At 36.8% G+C, this 20,374-nt stretch overlaps 1 protein-coding gene across 4 annotated transcripts in view, besides 2 other annotated features; it reads left to right on the forward strand.

The window, feature by feature from the left end:
* BMPER (BMP binding endothelial regulator) overlaps positions 1-20,374 on the forward strand; it is a 251,513-nt gene that overhangs the window by 86,359 nt on the left and 144,780 nt on the right. The window lies entirely within an intron of this gene.
* Positions 2,532-3,162: an enhancer, noted in NCBI's record as "H3K27ac-H3K4me1 hESC enhancer chr7:34033417-34034047 (GRCh37/hg19 assembly coordinates)". NCBI's record gives its function as "activates a minimal SCP1, AML or CMV promoter by ChIP-STARR-seq in naive and primed H9 embryonic stem cells {active_cell/tissue: H9 hESC(naive and primed)}" and the evidence as "EXISTENCE:reporter gene assay evidence [ECO:0000049][PMID:30033119]".
* Positions 3,163-3,792: an enhancer, noted in NCBI's record as "H3K27ac-H3K4me1 hESC enhancer chr7:34034048-34034677 (GRCh37/hg19 assembly coordinates)". NCBI's record gives its function as "activates a minimal SCP1, AML or CMV promoter by ChIP-STARR-seq in primed H9 embryonic stem cells {active_cell/tissue: H9 hESC(primed)}" and the evidence as "EXISTENCE:reporter gene assay evidence [ECO:0000049][PMID:30033119]".

The raw sequence follows: 20,374 nt of genomic DNA on the forward strand, positions 1-20,374 counted from the left end.
GTTATTGCCACAATTTTAGTTCCTGTTATTGGTCTATTCAGAGATTCAACTTCTTCCTGGTTTAGTCTTGGGAGAGTGTATGGGTCCAGGAATTTATCCATTTCTTCTAGATTTTCTAGTTTATTTGCGTAGAGGTGTTTGTAGTATTCTCTGATGGTAGTTTGTATTTCTGTGGGATCGGTGGTGATATCCCCTGTATCATTTTTTATTGCATCTATTTGATTCTTCTCTCTTTTTTTCTTTATTAATCTTGCTAGCAGTCTATCAATTTTGTTGATCCTTTCAAAAAACCAGCTCCTGGATTCATTAATTTTTTGAAGGGTTTTTTGTGTCTGTATTTCCTTCAGTTCTGCTCAGATTTTAGTTATTTCTTGCCTTCTGCTAGCTTTTGAATGTGTTTGCTCTTGCTTTTCTAGTTCTTTTAATTGTGATGTTAGGGTGTCAATTTTGGATCTTTCCTGCCTTCTCTTGTGGGCATTTAGTGCTATAAATTTCCCTCTACACACTGCTTTGAATGCGTCCCAGAGATTCTGGTATGTTGTGTCTTTGTTCTCGTTGGTTTCAAAGAACATCTTTATTTCTGCCTTCATTTCGTTATGTACCCAGTAGTCATTCAGGAGCAGGTTGTTCAGTTTCCATGTAGTTGAGCGGTTTTGAGTGAGATTCTTAATCCTGAGTTCTAGTTTGATTGCACTGTGGTCTGAGAGATAGTTTGTTATAATTTCTGTTCTTTTACATTTGCTGAGGAGAGCTTTACTTCCCAGTATGTGGTCAATTTTGGAATAGGTGTGGTGTGGTGCTGAAAATAAAGTATATTCTGTTGATTTGGGGTGGAGAGTTCTGTAGATGCCTATTAGGTCCACTTGGTGCAGAGCTGAGTTCAATTCCTGGGTATCCTTGTTGACTTTCTGTCTCGTTGATCTGTCTAATGTTGACAGTGGGGTGTTAAAGTCTCCCATTATTAATGTGTGGGAGTCTAAGTCTCTTTGTAAGTCACTCAGGACTTGCTTTATGAATCTGGGTGCTCCTGTATTGGGTGCATATATATTTAGGATAGTTAGCTCTTCTTGTTGAATTGATCCCTTTACCATTATGTAATGGCCTTCTTTGTCTCTTTTGATCTTTGTTGGTTTAAAGTCTGTTTTATCAGAGACTAGGATTGCAACCCCTGCCTTTTTTTGTTTTCCATTGGCTTGGTAGATCTTCCTCCATCCTTTTATTTTGAGCCTATGTGTGTCTCTGCACGTGAGATGGGTTTCCTGAACACAGCACACTGATGGGTCTTGACTCTTTATCCAATTTGCCAGTCTGTGTCTTTTAATTGGAGCATTTAGTCCATTTACATTTAAAGTTAATAGTGTTATGTGTGAATTTGATCCTGTCATTATGACGTTAGCTGGTTATTTTGCTTATTAGTTGATGCAGTTTCTTCCTAGTCTCGATGGTCTTTACATTTTGGCATGATTTTGCAGCGGCTGGTACCGGTTGCTCCTTTCCATGTTTAGCACTTCCTTCAGGAGCTCTTTTAGGGCAGGCCTGGTGGTGACAAAATCTCTCAGCATTTGCTTGTCTGTAAAGGATTTTATTTCTCCTTCACTTATGAAGCTTAGTTTGGCTGGATATGAAATTCTGGGTTGAAAATTCTTTTCTTTAAGAATGTTGAATATTGGCCCCCACTCTCTTCTGGCTTGTAGAGTTTCTGCTGAGAGATCCGCTGTTAGTCTGATGGGCTTCCCTTTGAGGGTAACCCGACCTTTCTCTCTGGCTGCCCTTAACATTTTTTCCTTCATTTCAACTTTGGTGAATCTGACAATTATGTGTCTTGGAGTTGCTCTTCTCGAGGATTATCTTTGTGGCGTTCTCTGTATTTCCTGAATCTGAATGTTGGCCTGCCTTGCTAGATTGGGGAAGTTCTCCTGGATAATATCCTGCAGAGTGTTTTCCAACTTGGTTCCATTCTCCCCATCACTTTCAGGTACACCAATCAGACATAGATTTGGTCTTTTCACATAGTCCCATATTTCTTGGAGGCTTTGCTGATTTCTTTTTATTCTTTTTTCTCTAAACTTCCCTTCTCGCTTCATTTCATTCATTTCATCTTCCATCACTGATACCCTTTCTTCCAGTTGATCACATTGGCTCCTGAGGCTTCTGCATTCTTCACGTAGTTCTCGAGCCTTGGTTTTCAGCTCCATCAGCTCCTTTAAGCACTTCTCTGTATTGGTTATTCTAGTTATACATTCTTCTAAATTTTTTTTCAAAGTTTTCAACTTCTTTGCCTTTGGTTTGAATGTCCTCCCGTAGCTCAGAGTAATTTGATCGTCTGAAGCCTTCTTCTCTCAGCTCGTCAAAGTCATTCTCCATCCAGCTTTGTTCCGTTGCTGGTGAGGAGCTGCGTTCCTTTGGAGGAGGAGAGGCCCTCTGCTTTTTAGAGTTTCCAGTTTTTCTGTTCTGTTTTTTTCCCCATCTTTGTGGTTTTATCTACTTTTGGTCTTTGATGATGGTGATGTACAGATGGGTTTTTGGTATGGATGTCCTTTCTGTTTGTTAGTTTTCCTTCTAACAGACAGGACCCTCAGCTGCAGGTCTGTTGGAGTACCATGCAGTGTGAGGTGTCAGTGTGCCCCTGCTGGAGGGTGCCTCCCAGTTAGGCTGCTCGGGGGTCAGGGGTCAGGGACCCACTTGAGGAGGCAGTCTGCCCGTTCTCAGATCTCCAGCTGCTTACTGGGAGAACCACTGCTCTCTTCCAAGCTGTCAGACAGGGACATTTAAGTCTGCAGAGGTTACTGCTGTCTTTTTGTTTGTCTGTGCCCTGCCCCCAGAGGTGGAGCCTACAGAGGCAGGCAGGCCTCCTTGAGCTGTGGTGGGCTCCACCCAGTTCGAGCTTCCAGGCTGCTTTGTTTACCTAAGCAAGCCTGGGCAATGGTGGGCGCCCCTCCCCCAGCCTCGCTGCCGCCTTGCAGTGTGATCTCAGACTGCTGTGCTAGCAATCAGCGAGACTCCGTGGGCGTAGGACCCTCCGAGCCAGGTGCGGGATATAATCTCGTGATGCGCTGTTTTTTAAGCCCGTCGGAAAAGCGCGGTATTCGGGTGGGAGTGACCCGATTTTCCAGGTGCCGTCTGTCACCCCTTTCTTTGACTCAGAAAGGGAACTCCCTGACCCCTTGCGCTTCCCAAGTGAGGCAATGCCTCACCCTGCTTTGGCTCGCGCATGGTGCGCACACCCACTGACCTGTGCCCACTGTCTGGCGCTCCCTAGTGAGATGAACCCGGTGCCTCAGATGGAAATGCAGAAATCACCCGTCTTCTGCGTCACTCACGCTGGGAGCTGTAGACCGGAGCTGTTCCTATTCGGCCATCTTGTGTTTGGTATTTTTAAAAGTTTTGCCTTTGCTGTTAGATTATTCTGATTGACTTTAGGGCGTGATGATGGATTCTATGTGCCATGGGGGGATTGTTGTGAACAAAAGGCCATTGTCCTGGGAGTGAGGAGACCTGTGGTCCTGTCCTACCTCTACCATTGGCTAGTTATGTCACCTGGAACCTTCCCACTCACCTCTTTGGGATTCAGTTTCCCCATCAGTAAAATAAGGACTTGTTAGAATCTTTTCAGTTCTACAATTCTATAATATCTCAATTCAGAAAGGGCCTTCACTTTCCCAGGAAGCAAATTATTTGACTGACTCTAAATACCAATTAATAGAAAAATTTTTTCTTATAGGTCACTGATACATTTTAAAATGTACATCTTAAAATTTACTTTTGAATTTTTATACTGTAAAATTTACTCTTTTTTGGGATATGGGAATTTTTATAAATGCAGTCATATACATTTTTAAATAGTGAATATTATCATAAATTATATTCAAAGATGCAAAAAGTCTTTACTTATGATTGTGGCCATGGTACAGCTTATTGTATTAAAAAACTAAAAAGACTCTTACATAATAAAGTTTCTCTAAAATACTAAGACATGTGTGGTACCTCATATGTATCTAGGATAAAGAGCAAGAGGCTCTCATCCATTTTGGAGGACATGAACTTCTTCACTCATGAGATGGATTTGTGGGTTCTGTTTGCAGAAATACAATTAGAAGTGGAGGAAGCTTTCCTTTTCCTCCTGAAGGCAAGGAGAAGACAATAAAATAGGACAATGTTGAGAGCCAGGATGAGACCTCCTGTTGCAAGGCTCTATCATGGATGCTGCTGAATGGGTGGACCTTATATTTCTATGCTTGTTGTACAATCTTATATTCCTAAGCTCAGAAATGGAAAGGCATTCCAGTAGCATGGTATGCCTCCACATTAGCATAAAACCAGGCCATGTAAGATTGATGATATTTGGAAGAGCTTTGAGGTTCTCTAAGCAGACAGAGACCCCTGCTGTTTTTGGCAGCGTTGGTTCCATGAGGCCTGTGCAGATGTTAAGGTGTTGCTTCCTTCTCTGTGTTAATCCTTGTTGCTTCCCTATTTCAGGTGTTGTCCAAATGTTGTACAAAAGAGGCCTGAATTTTCTATGAATTGGGGTCCCATGTTCAGAGTCTTACAGTCAGGGGCCACCTCACAAGTTCCATATATTCTACCTGGGATCTGGCCCCACTGAGGCCAGGGTGCCCTGGTGGGTGGAACATGGTTTCTGGAGTTGGTCAGACAGGGATTCCATTCAGCTCTGCTCCTCGAGCAAATAAGTGTACAGCTCCAAGCCTCACTTTCCTCATTTATAAAATGGGGATACTGCTTCTTGGCAAACAATACCCAGAAACCCTCTGTTCTCTTCCTCTATCTCTAACATGGTTGCTGCAGCAAATAGGACCTATGAAGCTATTTCATGCATAAAGAGCTTTGTGCAAAACAAAAAAGTTAAGATCCCTTGCTTCTCAATGTAGAAATGAAAAAGTCGCTTTAGTAAAACTGTAGGGCTTTGGAGCCCCAGAGAGTCCCACCCCCATTTTTTTTTTAAATAAAAGAAGTCCCAGCTGGTTGTGAGGATTTCATGGAATAATACATGCTGTGCCTGCTAGCCAGCATCTACTAGGTGACTCCTTTTCCTGCATAGCTGAGTGATTTTTAGCTGTCGTATTTTTTTATGGTTACCTGCTTAAATTCACTCTTTAGGACACTCACTTTTATATCAAACCCAAATATTTTAAGCCTAAGTTTTCTGGTTTGGTTTACTGAGGAGAAACCTACCAAATGGCTTCTTGCTGTCTACAATTATTGCCCTTCATACAGAAGGCTATGCATAGGGAGATAGTGGTTTGTAGTCTGAATCATTTCTTTTCTTCAGTAAGTAGTGACTGCACTTTATTTAATACCTGTTTATGATGGGAAGGTCTACCACCATTCTAGTAATATTCTAATCTTGCACTGTCTGGTAGAAATATGGTGTGAGCCACATATGCAATTTTTAATTTTCTGGTAGCTGCGTTACTGTAAGTTTTTAAAAAGTTGAATTAATTTTCCATTAAAATAAGTTTAAAAAGGTGAATAATTTTCATAATACACCATCCCTAACCCCATATATCCAAAATATTATTGTTTCAACATGTAATCATTATAAAAATATTAATAGGATATCTTACATTCTCTTTATTTTTGTACTAAGACTTTAAATTCCAGTGTGTATTTCTCACTTACAGCATTCTTATTTCAGGCTAACCACATTTCCAGTGCTCAATCGCACATGTGGCTGGTGGCTACCATATTGGACAGTGCAAGTGTAACCTATCTTGGGGGATAAGGAAGGAGCAGGTCTTATGTTCATGCTCAACAGGACCCTCCCTCCTCCCTCCCACTTAATGCCATCACATCCCATGTTGATATTCTCTACCCAGTTGGTACTGATATTGTGTGGAGAGATCAGGATGAAAGTGAAAGTGAAAGTTAATTACCCACCAGAGTGATCTTTTCTAAGTGTCATGTCCCCCTCTGCTTCAGATTTTCTAATGGCATCATCTATTATTTTTCCAAGTTAAAGCCAGAGCTCCCCTCTGCCCTCAACTTGTCTTCCAAGACTCTCCTTCTGATATGGTTTAGCTCTGTGTCCCAACTCAAATCTCTTCTTGAATTGTAATCCAAGTTGTAATCCCCATGTGTTGAGGGAGGGACCTGGTGGGAGGTGATTGAATGAAGGATGCAGTTTCCCCCATGATATTCTCGTGATAGTGAGTTCTTACAAGACCTGGTTGTTCGATAGTGTCTGGCGCTTCCCTCTTCATGCTCTCTCTCTCCTGCTGCCTTGTGAAGAAGGTGCTTGCTTCTCCTTCATCTTCTGCCATGATTGTAGGTTTCCTGAGGCCTCCTCAGCCATGTAGAAGTGTGAGTCAATTAAACCTCTTTCCTCTATAAATTACCCAGTCTTGGGTATTTCTTTATAGCAGTGTGAAAACGGAGTAATATACCCTTGTATACTTTTTCCAGACCCTCTGGGCTCCCTGTTGTTCCTTGAATGTGTCAGACACGTTCTCACCTCAGTTCTTTTGTATTTGAATGTTCTGTCCAGAAGACTCTTCCCCAGATGCCCACATATCTGACTTCTTCAGCTCCTTGAAGGAAATGAAGGAGCCAGATATGCTTGAATGTCACCTGCTTAGTGACGTTTTTCCTATTAAAATGGTAACCCTGCTTTGCTCCTAAATCCCCCTGCCACCAGATACTCCCTACTAAACTGACTTTGTTTATTTTTCCCCATTGCTTATTTATCACCTGCTGATGTGCTTTTTTCATTTTGTCTTTCTCTTCTTTCCCTGCCCTGGTAGAATACAAGCTCCATTAGGACTGGGACATTGTTTTGTTCATTGCTGTATCTCCACGACCTAAAATGGAACTTAGCACATTGTAGGTGCTCAACAAATATTTGCCTAGTGAATGAATGAACAAATACCAAGCATTTGATATTTCTAAAGACACAAAATTCCAATCACAGTATTTATCAACAGTTGATTAACATTTGGGAAAGTCCTGAATTCCATTCTATTACCCAAGATAAATGGAGTTACCTTGCTTAGTTTGGAAAACACTATCAAATTGTCTGTGCGTTATCCTTGTTCTGGTTTAGAAAACCCTCTAATGGGCCCTTCTATGGTGTCCAGGTCAGCTAGACTTCGGTGGGAATCTGGTCATTGCCCTCAAACACCAGTACTGTTTGCTTTTAAATTGTGACTTGTTGGAATGTCAGAGCAGACTCTAATTTGTGAGTTCTTGAATGCTTTTCCTTCTTTGGAAGGGAATACTCTGGAATTCTCAAAACTTAGGCACTCTCAAGTTGAAGATTTACTGGGGGCAGATTGGATTACCTCCTCTAACTTTACAAATCCACAAACACTTCAAACAAACCTCTCCCGTTCAGTTTCAGCAGACTCCCTGAGAACGTTGTGAACAAGAACACAGGGTCAAGGCTGAATGGTGAGCTGGGCTGTTGTTGTTGGCTGGATCTGTGTGGGGAGCAGCCCTAACCATGGCTTTGTGCAGCCAAACAGTGTGATGTGATCCCCCGGCTGCCGAAGGCCTGGCAGATGACAGAGTCTGGCGCAGTGGCCGACCTGCTCATCAGAGGAGAGGCCAGTCTAATTTAGAAGCCAAACAACTTTCTTTTGTCTTACTTGTTTTTCTTCCAAGAAGGTGAAGTTTTGAAGGCCTCAGCAGGAGAGAAGCCTCTAGTGTTGGGAAGGCTGTCTCAAGATTTCATGACTTGCAGTATGGAGATGAGCAAGGAGCTCTCAACATCTCTTTCTTCCCTGCCCGCCTGCTCTGAGCCCCTGAACCTAAAGTTGGCAATGACTATAAAGAGATTTCATGCGAAGTCATTCTTTCTAGCAGTGGGGTGCTTCGCACCATTCTCTTACATGTTCCCAGAGAGGAAATCAAACCTTTGTACACAGCTTTAGAGTCAAAATTCAAAATGGCAGTTTCTAGGCACTGGTTCCCTTTTGACTTCACTTTACCTGCCTGGGCACTGAGGACACCGTGAGCTTTGTCTGCAGAGGATGTGCAACTTGGTGAATGAGAACTTAGAATTCTAAGTCAAGAAGATCTTGCAGCTAGTTTAAAAAAATGGTAAGGTAGCTTTGAATTAAACCCAACAATTTCAAGCTTTAAAAAGATGTGTTCTCCCCATAAAAATAATCAGATATAGGAAGACTTGTTTGTAAACTTTATTTTTATTAGGAAATAATTTTTGTATGTTCAAATTTTGATTAATGTGGAACAGGCTTTACGTTATTTACTGGTTTGTATTGTTATAGCATTTATAGAAGATATAGTTTGACCACAACTTCTGAATTTATTCAGATAAAGTATATTTTGCCTCATATCAGTTTCTCTTTTCTCTCAGAGCCTTTCCTTCTGGGACCTTCAGTCCACAGCTGATAATCTAGATAAGAGGGTATCCAGCCTGTTGGCTGCTCAGTTTCTGACCTTCCCACAATCCTAGTTGAATGAGTCCAAATGAGTTTGAAAGGCTGGAGTTGAATTCTGCATAAACCTGAGGCTTGGGAATGATGACAAGGCTTAAAGGAGGGCAGGGAGGCCATAGAGAGCACATCTTATCCTCCAGGCTTTTCTTTCTTACCTTCCCTCAATTCCTTCTGTTAAATACCTCTTTGATTTCTCCCCATTCTCAGAACTTAAAAGGCCACTACGCTCAGAAATGAAGTGGAGACCTCATCAAACCCTCTAGGGGAGAGTGCCATAACCAGAGCCTAATGATCAAGATAGAGTTTTATATTTGTCTGTCACAAATTGGTTAACATCTGTGTTCATTTTTCTGATCTACTAAAAAATGGCCCATCTGTAATTCTTTTCTCCAACAAACTCATGCATCACGTAATAATCACATGTCGAGTGCACAGGCTGGAGAAGAGAAGGTGAAAAGAAGGGTTAGGAACAGTGTGACCAAATTATGTTCAAAAAGGAGCTATGTGGTTCAACCATCCCAAGTCTCTAGTGTCCTTGTGACTCTGACATGTTTTAGTGTGGGAGTGCAACCATTCATTCATTTATTCATTCAATGTTATAAAAGAAAAAAAGAAATTTGGACGGTGTTTTTAGATGAAGATAGATGAAAGAGACTGGATCTTGGATTGAAAAAAAATACTATAAAAGATATTAGGACAGTTGGGGAAATTTGAAGGTTGACTATATATTAGATGATAGTACTATATTAATATTAAATTTCCTAGTGTGTATTATGTTGTGGTTATAAAAGAAAAGAAAAATATTTTTAACCCTAAGAGATACAGTCTTAATTAGGGGTAAGGTATCTACAAAGGAATCTTAAATGGTTCAGGAAAAAGTCTCTCTCTCTTCCTCTCTTTCTGTCTCTCTCTCCCAGCAGAGAGGGAAAAGTATTAAAAAATACTAAAAACTGCTGATTCTAGGTGAAGGACATTTGGGTGTGCATGATACTATATTTTAAGTTTCTGAAGGTTTGAAACTTTTCAAAATTAAAAGTTAGTGAAAAAATAGAAAGTTGTCGCAAAGGTATTTCTTGTCATCTTATTGGCCAATGGGATATAGCCCATTTCACCATTAAGTATGATGCTAGTTGTGGATTTTTTTGTAAATGCCTTTATCATGTCAAGAAAGTTCCTCTTATTTTTAGTTAGTTGAGTATTTTGAACATGAATAGGTGCTGGATTTTGTTAAATGCATTTTCTGCATCTATTGAGATGATCTTGTGGTTTTTGTCCTTTTTTATATTAACATGATGCTTTATATTAATTTTCATATTTTAAACCAACCTTACATTTCTGCGATAACTCTCACATGCTATATCTTTTTTTTATATATTGTTGTACTCAATTTGCTAGTATTTTGTTGAAGACTTTTGTATCTATATTCAAAAAGTGTTTGATCTGTAGGGTTTTTGTGATATCTTTGTTTTTTTTGTATCAGGTTAATAAAGGCTTCATAGAACAGGTTGGGAAGTGTTCTCTACTCTTATTTTTTGGAAAACTTTGTGAAGGACTTGTGTTAATTGTTTTTTAAACATTTGATAGAATTCAACAGTAAAGCTACCTGGGCCTGGGCTTTTCTTCATGGGAATTTTTTGAATACTTATTAAATTTCTTCATATGGCATGAATATGAGTCTATTCAGATATTTAAAATTTTTCTTCTTGAGTCAGATTCAGTAGTTTGTGTGTTTCTAGGAGTTTGTCCATTTCATGTAGGTTTTCTAATTTGTTGGCATACAGTTGTTCATAATAGTCCCTCATAATCTTTCACTTTTCTACAGTCAGCAGCAATATTCTTGCTTCAATTCTGATTTTAGTAATTTGAATCTGCTTTCTTTTTTTTTTTTTTCTGTTCAGTCTAGTTAATGGTTTATCAATTTTGTTGAAATTTTAAAAGAACCTACTTTTGGTTTCATCGAATTCTGTTTTTCTATTCTCGATTTCACATATTGCCATTCTAGTCTTCATCATTTTCTTTCTTCTGGTGACTTTAAGGTTTAGTTACTATTCTTTTCCTAATTTGTTAAGTGGAAGGTTAAGTTATTGATTTGAGATTGTTTGCCTTTTTAAAATATAAGTGTTTACAGGTACGCATTTCTCTCTAAGTACTATTTTGGTTATATCCCATAAGTGTTTTTATTTTCATTCATCTAAAAGAATTTTCTAATTTCTTTTGTCATGTCTTTTTTTACTTACTGGTTTTGGGAATGTGTTGTTTAATTTCTATGTATTTTTGAATTTCCCAAATTTCCTTCTTTTATTGACTTTCAATTTTATTCTTTTGAAATTAGAGAACATATTTTTATTATTTAAATTTTTAAAAATTCATTGAGACTTGTTTTATGGCCAAATATATGGTGTATTGTGGAGAATGTTGTATGTGTATTTGAGAAGAGTGTGTATTTTGTTGTTTTAGAGTGGAGCGTTCTCTGTAGACAGATGACCTCTGACTTAATGACTGCTCAACTTATGATTTTAGGACTTTATGATGGTGAGAAAATGATACACATTTTGTAGAAACTGTACTTCTAATACCCATACAATCATTCTGTTTTTTACTTTCAGTACAGTATTCAATAAGTTACATGAGATATTTAATATTTTATTATAAAATAGGCTTTGGGTTATATGATTTTGCCCAACTGTAGGCTAATGTAAATGTTCTTAGCATGATTAAGGTAGGCTCAGGCTAAGCTATGAAGTTTGGTAGGTTGTATTAAATGCATTTTTAATGATTTTCAACTTATGATTGCTTTAGTGGGTTATAATCCCATCATAAGTTGAGAAGCATCTTTGTATCTGTTAGGCCTACTTGATTAACAGTGTTTTTCAAGTCTTCTATTTCCTTGTTAATATTCTGCTTAGTTGTTCTATCTATTATTGAAAGTAGAGTATTGAATTCTCAAATTATTTTTGTAGTTTCTTTCTTCAATTCTTTCAGTTTTTGCTTCATATATGTTAGGCCTCTTTTAAGTGCATATATGTTTATAATTGTTATGTCTTCCTGATGGCCTCTTATTATTGTAAAATGTCTTTCTTTGTCTCTAGCAACAATTTTTGTCTTAAAGACTTTTTTGTTTGATGATAGTATAGTCCCTACTGCTCTCTTTCAGTTACTTTGCATAGTATATCTTTCTTCTATCCTTTTACTTTCAACTTACTTGTTTCTTTGAATCTAAAGTGTGTCTCTTGTAGACAGTATATAGTTTTATCCTGCTTTAAAAAAAAATCAATTCTGCCAGTCTCTGCTTTTTGATTGGAATATTTGGCCCATTTCCATTTAATGTAATTTTTGATAAGATAGGATTTTTATCTGATGTTTTGCTGGTTTTTGTATGTCTTATGTCTTTTTTGTTCTGCAGTTCCTCCATTACTATCATATTTTGTGTTAAGTAGAAATTTTCTAGTATACTATTTTAATTCTAATATAAATTTCTAGTATAAATGTGTGTACACACACACACATATATACACACACACACATATATATACACACATACATATATGTAAACAAAAAGAGAATGTTATTTTTTAGCGGTTGACCTGGAAATTCTGGTTAACATCCTAATTTAAGATAATCCAGTTCAGATTTATACCAATTTAATTTTAACAATACAGAAAAACTTTGTTCCAATATATCTCTATTTCTCCCTTCCTTTCTACTATTACTGTCATACAAATCGCACTCTATGTATTATAAACCCATCAGCACAGTTTTATAGTTTTGTATTATGCAGTTTCCGTTAAATCCTGTAGAAAAAAAATTAAATACTCTCTTTTATATTTACCTATGTAGTCACCTCTAATGGCATTCTTTATTTGATTAATGTCCGCTTATTTCAGCCTAGAGGAGTCCGTTTAGTATTTTTATGTAGGGCATATCTGCTAGTAATGAATTCTGTTAATTTTTATTTACTTGGTAATGTCTTAATTTCTCCCTTGTGTTGCAACAACAGTTTTGTTGCATGTAGTTAACATACATGTTGATTTATAGTTTATTCTTTCACCAGTTTGAATATGTTCTGTCCTTAGTGGTTTTGATGATGAATCAGCTATTTTATTGATGCTCTCTTGTATATAATGAGTTATTTTTCTCTTGCTGCTTTCAAAATTTTCTGTCTTTCCACATTTCACTATGATGTGTCCACATATGAATTTCTTTCACTTTATCCTGCTTGAAGTTTATTGAATTTCTTGGATGTACAGATTAATGTTTTCATTAAATTTGGAAATGTTTTGGCTATTATTCTTCAAATATTCATTCAGCCCCTTTTTCCTGTTTCCTTCCAGGACTATAATCTTTGGCATGTTAGTACACTTAGTAGCGTTCCACACATCTCTGAGACTCATTTTTCTCCACTCTTTTTCCTTTCTGTTCCTTGGACTAAATAATGTCAAATGTTTTGTCCTCAAATTCATTTATTCTTTCTTCTGCCAGTTCGATCTGCTGTTGAACTCCTGCAGGAATTTTTCATTACAGTTATTGTATTTCTCAATTCTAGTATTCTAGTTCCTTCTTTTTGATGCTTTTTTATTGGTATTCTTTAATTAGAAGTGATTGTTATACTTTTATTTTTCTTTAGACTTTCTTTTTTTAGTTCTTTGAACATTTATAATAGCTGGTTTAAAGTCTTTCTGTAATAAGTCCAACCTCAGGGCTTTCACAAAGACAGTTTATATTGCTTACTTTATGTGTCGTCAAATAAACTTCCGTGTTTTTTTGCATATCTCATTTTTTGTTGTTGCTATTGTTTTTGTTGAAAACTGGATGCATTTATGATAACATAATATAGCAAGTCTGAAAAATTGTATTTTCTCCTTGCCCCAGTTTGTTATTGCTGTTTGTTTCTGTGGTTATCATTGTTGCTGTTTGTCAAGTGACTTTCTTAAACTTATTCTGCAAAGTCTGTATTCTCTGTCATGTGTGGCCAGTGACTCTGCTCGGTTAGTTCAATGGTCAGCTATTGACTGGATAGAGATTTCCGTAAATGTCTTGAACCAGTACGACTCCCAACCTTTGCCAAAGGGCTCTGTATGAGGGGCATGTTTTCAAAATTTCAGTGGGAAGTTTACAACCCTGCTTATCCTTCACTTTCGGATTGCACAGAGCCTCAAGGTTAGCCAGCAATAAGAGTTTTGAGCCTTCTTAGGTGTTTCTTGGGCATGCGTGGTGCCTTGCACAGTTATGTGACCTTCTGGATCCCAGGGTTATGTAGGAGCTTCTCAAAGCCCCCTATAGACATCCTTAAATATTTTACTCAGTATCTTGTTAACTCCTGCTTTAATGCTGCTTCAAGTAGCTGCAATATTAAACAATTACCACTGATAGTTTTTAACAAATGCACTGGGGTTAGGACAGAGTGACTCTGAGTGAGAGATAAATAATGACAAGTTCTGAGAGTGGAGCTTTTCAGCAAGCTGACAGATAGGTAAAATAGTGACAGTACCCTGGGGATGGGACTTTTAGGGAGCTCTGAATCCATTCTTCTTTCTCTAGTGGCTTCTAGGTTGGTGGATTTCAAAGCTACTATGATTGTTAAGCTATTGTTTTTTAAAACTATTGTAACACTGGGTAGAGAGGGACAAGATTAATGTAAGTTAAAATATCTCAAAGCTTGCTATTCTTATTGAGATTCTCTTATTTTTTCTCAATACACACCTCAGATTTTTGCCTTCTTTTAACTTTGATAGCTCTGACAATGTTGACTTTTTACATTTTTTTTAATTTTTATTTTTAGAGATGATGTCTCACTTTGTCATGCAGGCTGGAGTGCAATGGTGGGATCATAGCTCAATGCAGCCTTGAACTTCTGGGCTCAGGCAACCCTTCTGCCTCAGCCTCCTATTTTATTTTTTGCAGAGATGGGGGTCTCACTTTATTGCCCAGTCTTGTCTCAAACTCCTGGCTTCAAGTGATTCTCCCACTTTGGCCTCCCAAAGTGCTGGGATTACAGGTGTGAGCCGCTGCTCTTGGCCTGACAATGTTGATTTTGATAATTGTTGACAGAGTTCTTATTGCTTTATGGAGGAATGGCTTTTTGGAAGTCTTTACTCTACTGTTCTAGAAATTGTAAGTCCTTCAAAATCACTTTATATTATTTTTGCACTTATTTTATCAATTATTTAAGTGCTAGGAAAGCTCTTGAGGTTAAATCTTTCCTTGTGTTCTTAAATTTTTTCCTAAGATAATATATTTAAAAAATATACTCACTAGGTCAATGGATATTAATATTCTTGAATTTTTTATAATGCCCTGGCAATTTGCTTTCCACAAAGATTCTCTTCATTTACATTGTAGCCATTATTTGTAAAGGGGTATTCCCCTGCATGCTTGACAACTCTAGATATTATAATATGTATTACTTTACTGTTATGAATTAGAAAATATTGAGTTCTAATTCCACCCTTTGTAAAAAAAATTAAATAAACTGCTCTAACAGCTAAGATAATGGCCAAAAATATGTTCGAAATAGGAATTTTTTTCTAAAATAATCATTGTATCTTTTTTTGTTTAGAAATCTATACACAATGCTAATTTCACTTTAAAAGCCTTAGAAAAATAAAGATAAACTATGAGGAGTTCTTAAATTCTGAGAGAGATTTTGGTTTATGTCTTCTTAAGGACTAGGTTTTACTGTGTATTAGTGAATCCCTAAAATTAGCTTGTATTTTTGGCTAGGTTTTAGTGGAAAGGAAACACCTTCCTAAACTCTATCATTTGCCAAAAGAGAGGAAGAATAATGATAAAACCAGAAAGCAGAGCCTATGCAAGCAATCAGAGCAAAATTTGATGTGTACTCCAGAAGTCAAAATTGCTAATTTTTTATATTCTCTCTTGGGTGAAGCTGCTGCTTCCAGGAGCAGGAGGTGCTTTTTAGGAAGCATATTGTGCTTAACTATCAATAGGCCAGTGGTTTGACAGTTGAGCTTTGCTTAGTCACCAGGAACCCTCAGGAGATAATGCTATTTTACTTGCAAACAGAGATGTTTCAGTTATGGACGTCTGTGTATTGTAGTTTATCTCTTCCTCTTTGCGATGCAATTTGAGAGAAGTTCATGAATTTGGTGGCCATAGTTTGATCTGTAGTGCAAATTAGCATAGCTATCAAAGCAATCAATCTGTGTTTTGATGTGACTGTTTTTCTCTACCAGAAGTGGAGAACAGGACAGAATGAAGGAGATTTGAGGAGCACGTCAGGCTAAATGTCTCTCATTCACCTATTTCAAAGTGGATCAGCCCCTCTCTGCCAATGCACCTTCCTAGTATAATTTTCTGAGAATCTTTTTCTGGCTTAGGTTAGAATTCAGTGAATGGCAGAATTCAATGAGTGAATGAGGGCAATAAGCCTTGCCTTCCCATAACTAATTCAATTGATTCCTTAACATCACTAAAATAAGATAAAATCATAGGACCTTAGCATTGAAAAGGACATTGAGATAATCTTAGTGATCTTGGGCAAGTTGCTTAATTGTAGATGAATTTTCTCATTTATGAAATGAGGGGATTGCGATAGGCAATGATTCTCAACTTTTCCTGTACTTTGCTCTTAAGGGGCTTTGAATCTTTAGGCATATTGTATTAAAATCAAAATTTTAATTTTATTTTTTAAGGGATTTCACATGCACATGTACATTCCTAAGCTGCAAGATAATAAATGGTGAAAATACAGGCTTCTACTCACCAGTATTGCTTAGTCTCTTAAATTTCTCTGGAGGTAATCACAATTGACAGATTTTTCTGTATTCTCCCACAGATGGTCCATGCATTTACAGCCATAAGCATGCTCATTCCTATGACCTATCCTTATAAATGGTAGTATTCTATATGTTCTGTTCTGTGTCATTTTTTCACTTAATTATACATCTTGGATGTTGTTCCAAATCAGTGTATATAAGAGCTGCCTCATTTTCTTAAATGGCTGCATGTTATTCCATTGATAGATACAGGATAATTTACTCATAGGTATAGGGGTAATTTATTTATGCATGTAAGTATACATTTTTCTAATTTTTTCTATTATAAACAATTATATAATTAGTATAGATTTGAATCTGTTTCATTTCTGAATATATTTCTTTAGGATTAATCCTAGAACTAGAGTTATTGGATCAAAGAGCACATGTATGTTAATTGTTTTAGGGTACTGTGAAACTGCTCTTTTTGAAGGCTGCAGTGATATTCACCTCCATTGAGAGTGTATCAGGGTGCCTGATGGACCATACCCTTGTCAACACAGTATTTTTATTGTTTTTCTTGTCAGTTTTAATGGTGATAAATATTAAGTTATTTTAGTTTTAATTTGATTTTATCTTAATATTGAGTATAGTTTAATATCTTTTTATGTACAGATATTTATCAAATTTAAGAAGAAATTGATTGTAAGTCTCCTCTGGATTTTAAAATGTTAAAATATAACAATCAAAATGAGAACTAATGAAATATGGTACTTAAGTTATATGTATTTCCACTTTTGTGAAGAGTCTTTTGTTTCTTTCTCTACTGGGTTGTTGGTCTTTCATGTTGATTTCCAAGGGCTTTTATAAGCAAAGGAAATTGGCCTTTTGTGACATGTGTGACATTTCTCAATTTGTCACTGTTGATTCTGTAGTAGTATTTTCTCATGCAGATATTTTAATTTTAAGTTGTTAAATTCATCCACTTTTCTTTAACACCTTCTGGATTTAGTGTCACTATTAGAAAGCCTTTCCCACTTTGAGATTAAAAAAAAATTTCCCAGTTTTTTTTCAATTATTTTGATGGTTTTACATTAATAATATGTGTCTCATCTTTTTATGATTTTCCAGAATTTTCCTGATATTTTTGAAGGAGGCCATGTTTGGACTTTCCATATAAATCAACATATCACCTAACAATAATAGTAATTTTTCCTTCTACTGTTATACGTTTTAATTCTTGTAAAACTGCTGGCTAGCCCCTCAAGAATGACATTCAATGTTACTGGTGTCTTTCTCAAGTTGTTCCTAACTTGAATGGCAATGTCCCAATGTTTCTCTATCATGCACGGGACTGGCTTGGAGTTCATATAGATAGCATCTTGTTAGGGAAGTATCCACTCAGCCCTACTTTCTTTTTTTTGTTTACTTTTTTTCTTTTTAATTATTATTTCTTTTGAGACAGGTCTCACTCTGTTGCTGAGGCTGCAGCACAGTAGTGCAATCATAGCTCACTGTAACATTGAACTCCTGGGCACAGGAGATCCTCCCACCTCAGCCTCCTGAGTAGACACTGTGCCTGGCTAACTTTGTACATTTTTTGTAGAGATGGGGTCTCACTATGTTGCCCAGGCTAGTCTCAAATTCCTGGCCTCAAATGATCCTCCTGCCTTGACCTCTGAAAGTCCTGGGATTATAGGTGTGAGCTACTGTACCCAGTATTTTTTTTTAATTTTAGATGATCCTTCTACTTCAGCCTCCCAAGTAGCTGGGACTACAACCATGTGCCACCAAGCCCAGCTTCAACCCTATTTTATTAAAAGTAAGATTAACATAGTAAGACAGAATTTTTGAATGTGTCTTTATTATTATACTTTTTCTTGATTGCATATTAGAATGTTCTGAGATTAGACCTTATTCTTTCTGAACTATTAGGGGCCACAAGATTAAATAACCTTCATAAACCTACTCAGATTATGTTTTATGAGGGTGCTCTATTAGTGGAAGGGAGGACTTGCTTTTGGGGAAGAGTCTCCACTTGTTCTAGTAAGGACCACCTTGGCAGTTGCATACAAGACTGGTGTATTGGCCTTATTGTCCACCTCAAAATGCAAGTAGCAGACTTAGCTGTTGGGGAATATCATTACTACACATATAATAAAAACTAATGCTTAATATGAAAAATAAATATAATTATGGAAAAGAGTATCCTGTGGATAAAACCGTATAAATGTGAGAGAGAGGTGGCATTCTGCTGCTCTTTTGGAAGAGGGGAGGCATCCTTGGACAAAGGAAAGAGATATGATTTAGAAACAAAAAACTATTGTCAACTAAGGCTAAGATTTCCAAGTCTCCTCTTTTGGCTTGTTCAGCAAGTTTCAGGCTTTATCTCTAGACTTCTCAAAACATTTTTCTTCAACAGCATCACTTTGCTTGTGTCTCTAGGCTTGTACTGTGATTCTGTGTTGACTAGCTACTTATTCATAAGAGCAAGAAAGTGACCGTCTTATATTTTTGTTGAAATAAGACAATGATAGAAGGAAGGTGACCTTCTAGGTAATTATGATGAGATACCATGTTTTTCCCAGCTTCCTCCTTCCTTATGCTGGTGTCAGTGGGTTAAACAATTACTTCTAGCTCCAAATACTTTTATTTATCCACTATCCCTCATACATCTTATAAACCACACTCTCCTTCAAACCTGCCATGTCTTCTCACCTCCAGGACTCAGAACATGGGATGTCTTATGTTTCAAGTCATTTTCTTCTATTCCTTTTCTATTCCTTTTTGAAATTTAGCTCAGATGTCATCTCCTATGAAGTCTTTTCTGGTCACCCTAATGACTTACTCCTTCCTCTATATGTAGTTTGAGCATAGTTCATTATTAACACCTATCACATGGTTGTGTGATTATGTTTTTAGGAGTGTAGATGAGATAGTCAAAAGTAGACTTGTATGGTTTAACTTATTAATTTAGTTATACATACATATTTAAAATTACTTGTTGTATGAGATGATATTTAGGGAACATTGCCATTTTCCATTCTTATATTTTGTAAAACAATTTCATTCACCCTAATTATATGCAACTTTGTCATTAATCTTTGACATCACTTGTGCTACTCTTTGAATCATCAAATGTGATTTTCCAAAGTAAACCATCTTCATTTCCATTTAGATTGCTTGAGATCCAGTATTTTTTAAATCAGTGCATGATTGCTATTGTCACAAGTATCCACTGATATAACATTAGGGAGACTGGTTTTTCCTTTCACCTCTAGGGTTATATTCATGAGTTTCGTAATGTAACTACATGCTATACTACTTCTTAATATGATCTTTCAAAGGTTTGCGTGGGATGATATTCTACATTTATGAAATCTGAACTTTTGCTCCAGAAATAATTGTCATGTCCTTGTTAAATTTCTTTTCTTTTTTAATGATTCCATTGGGTGACTGTGCTTAGTGTTAATTGACATATATTCAGCCTAGCATGTTTTTCTGAAATAGTAATTTGGTGTTCGGAATTAAATAATTTAGAAAATGCCTTTTTAATTTGTGAGATTTGTGAATACTTGAATTTAAGAGGAATTTCCTTTTCTGAAGTTTAAGTTCTGGTTAAAAAACAAAAACCTCCTCAGTTTATTTTGGGCATATATGGTGTTTTCTCTGAGAGTGGAATTTGTCTTAAGTTTATTTTTATACAGGCCATGATTCTAGTAAGGCTACCTATTAGAAAATAAGGAGATTACTGTAAGCAGCAACCTGGGATCTAGTTGCAATACTTCTTAGACTATAATGTGCCTATTAATCATCTGAGGATATTGTGAACTTGCAGATTCTGACTCAGTAGGTCTGGGGTGAGGCCCGAGATTCTGTATTTCTACCAAGTTTCCAGGTGTTATCAATGTTGCTGGTTCATAAGGCATACTTTGAGTAGCAAGGACGAGGAATAATGCTGTATCTTTAAGAATTTATTAGAAACTTGTTTGGCTTCCTCTAAAGGTATCACTGGAAGGAAATAAAAAGCATATTTTGTATATGCAAAGTTTCACAATACTCCACTGGGCTCACTCATCTTCATACCGCTGTCTATGGAAGATGAGTAAAAATTTCCATTAAAGGAAAACCTTTTAAACCAGAATGTAAATAGGCCTTTGCTGCTTTCAGTTGGTCAGGGCAAAAAAAAAAAAAAAAAAAAAGAAAAAAAAAGAAAGAAAAAAGAAACAAAGAAAGCAAATTTAC

The sequence above is a fragment of the Homo sapiens genome, chromosome 7, assembly GCF_000001405.40.
Source record: "Homo sapiens chromosome 7, GRCh38.p14 Primary Assembly".
NCBI classification, from domain to species: Eukaryota; Metazoa; Chordata; class Mammalia; order Primates; family Hominidae; genus Homo; species Homo sapiens.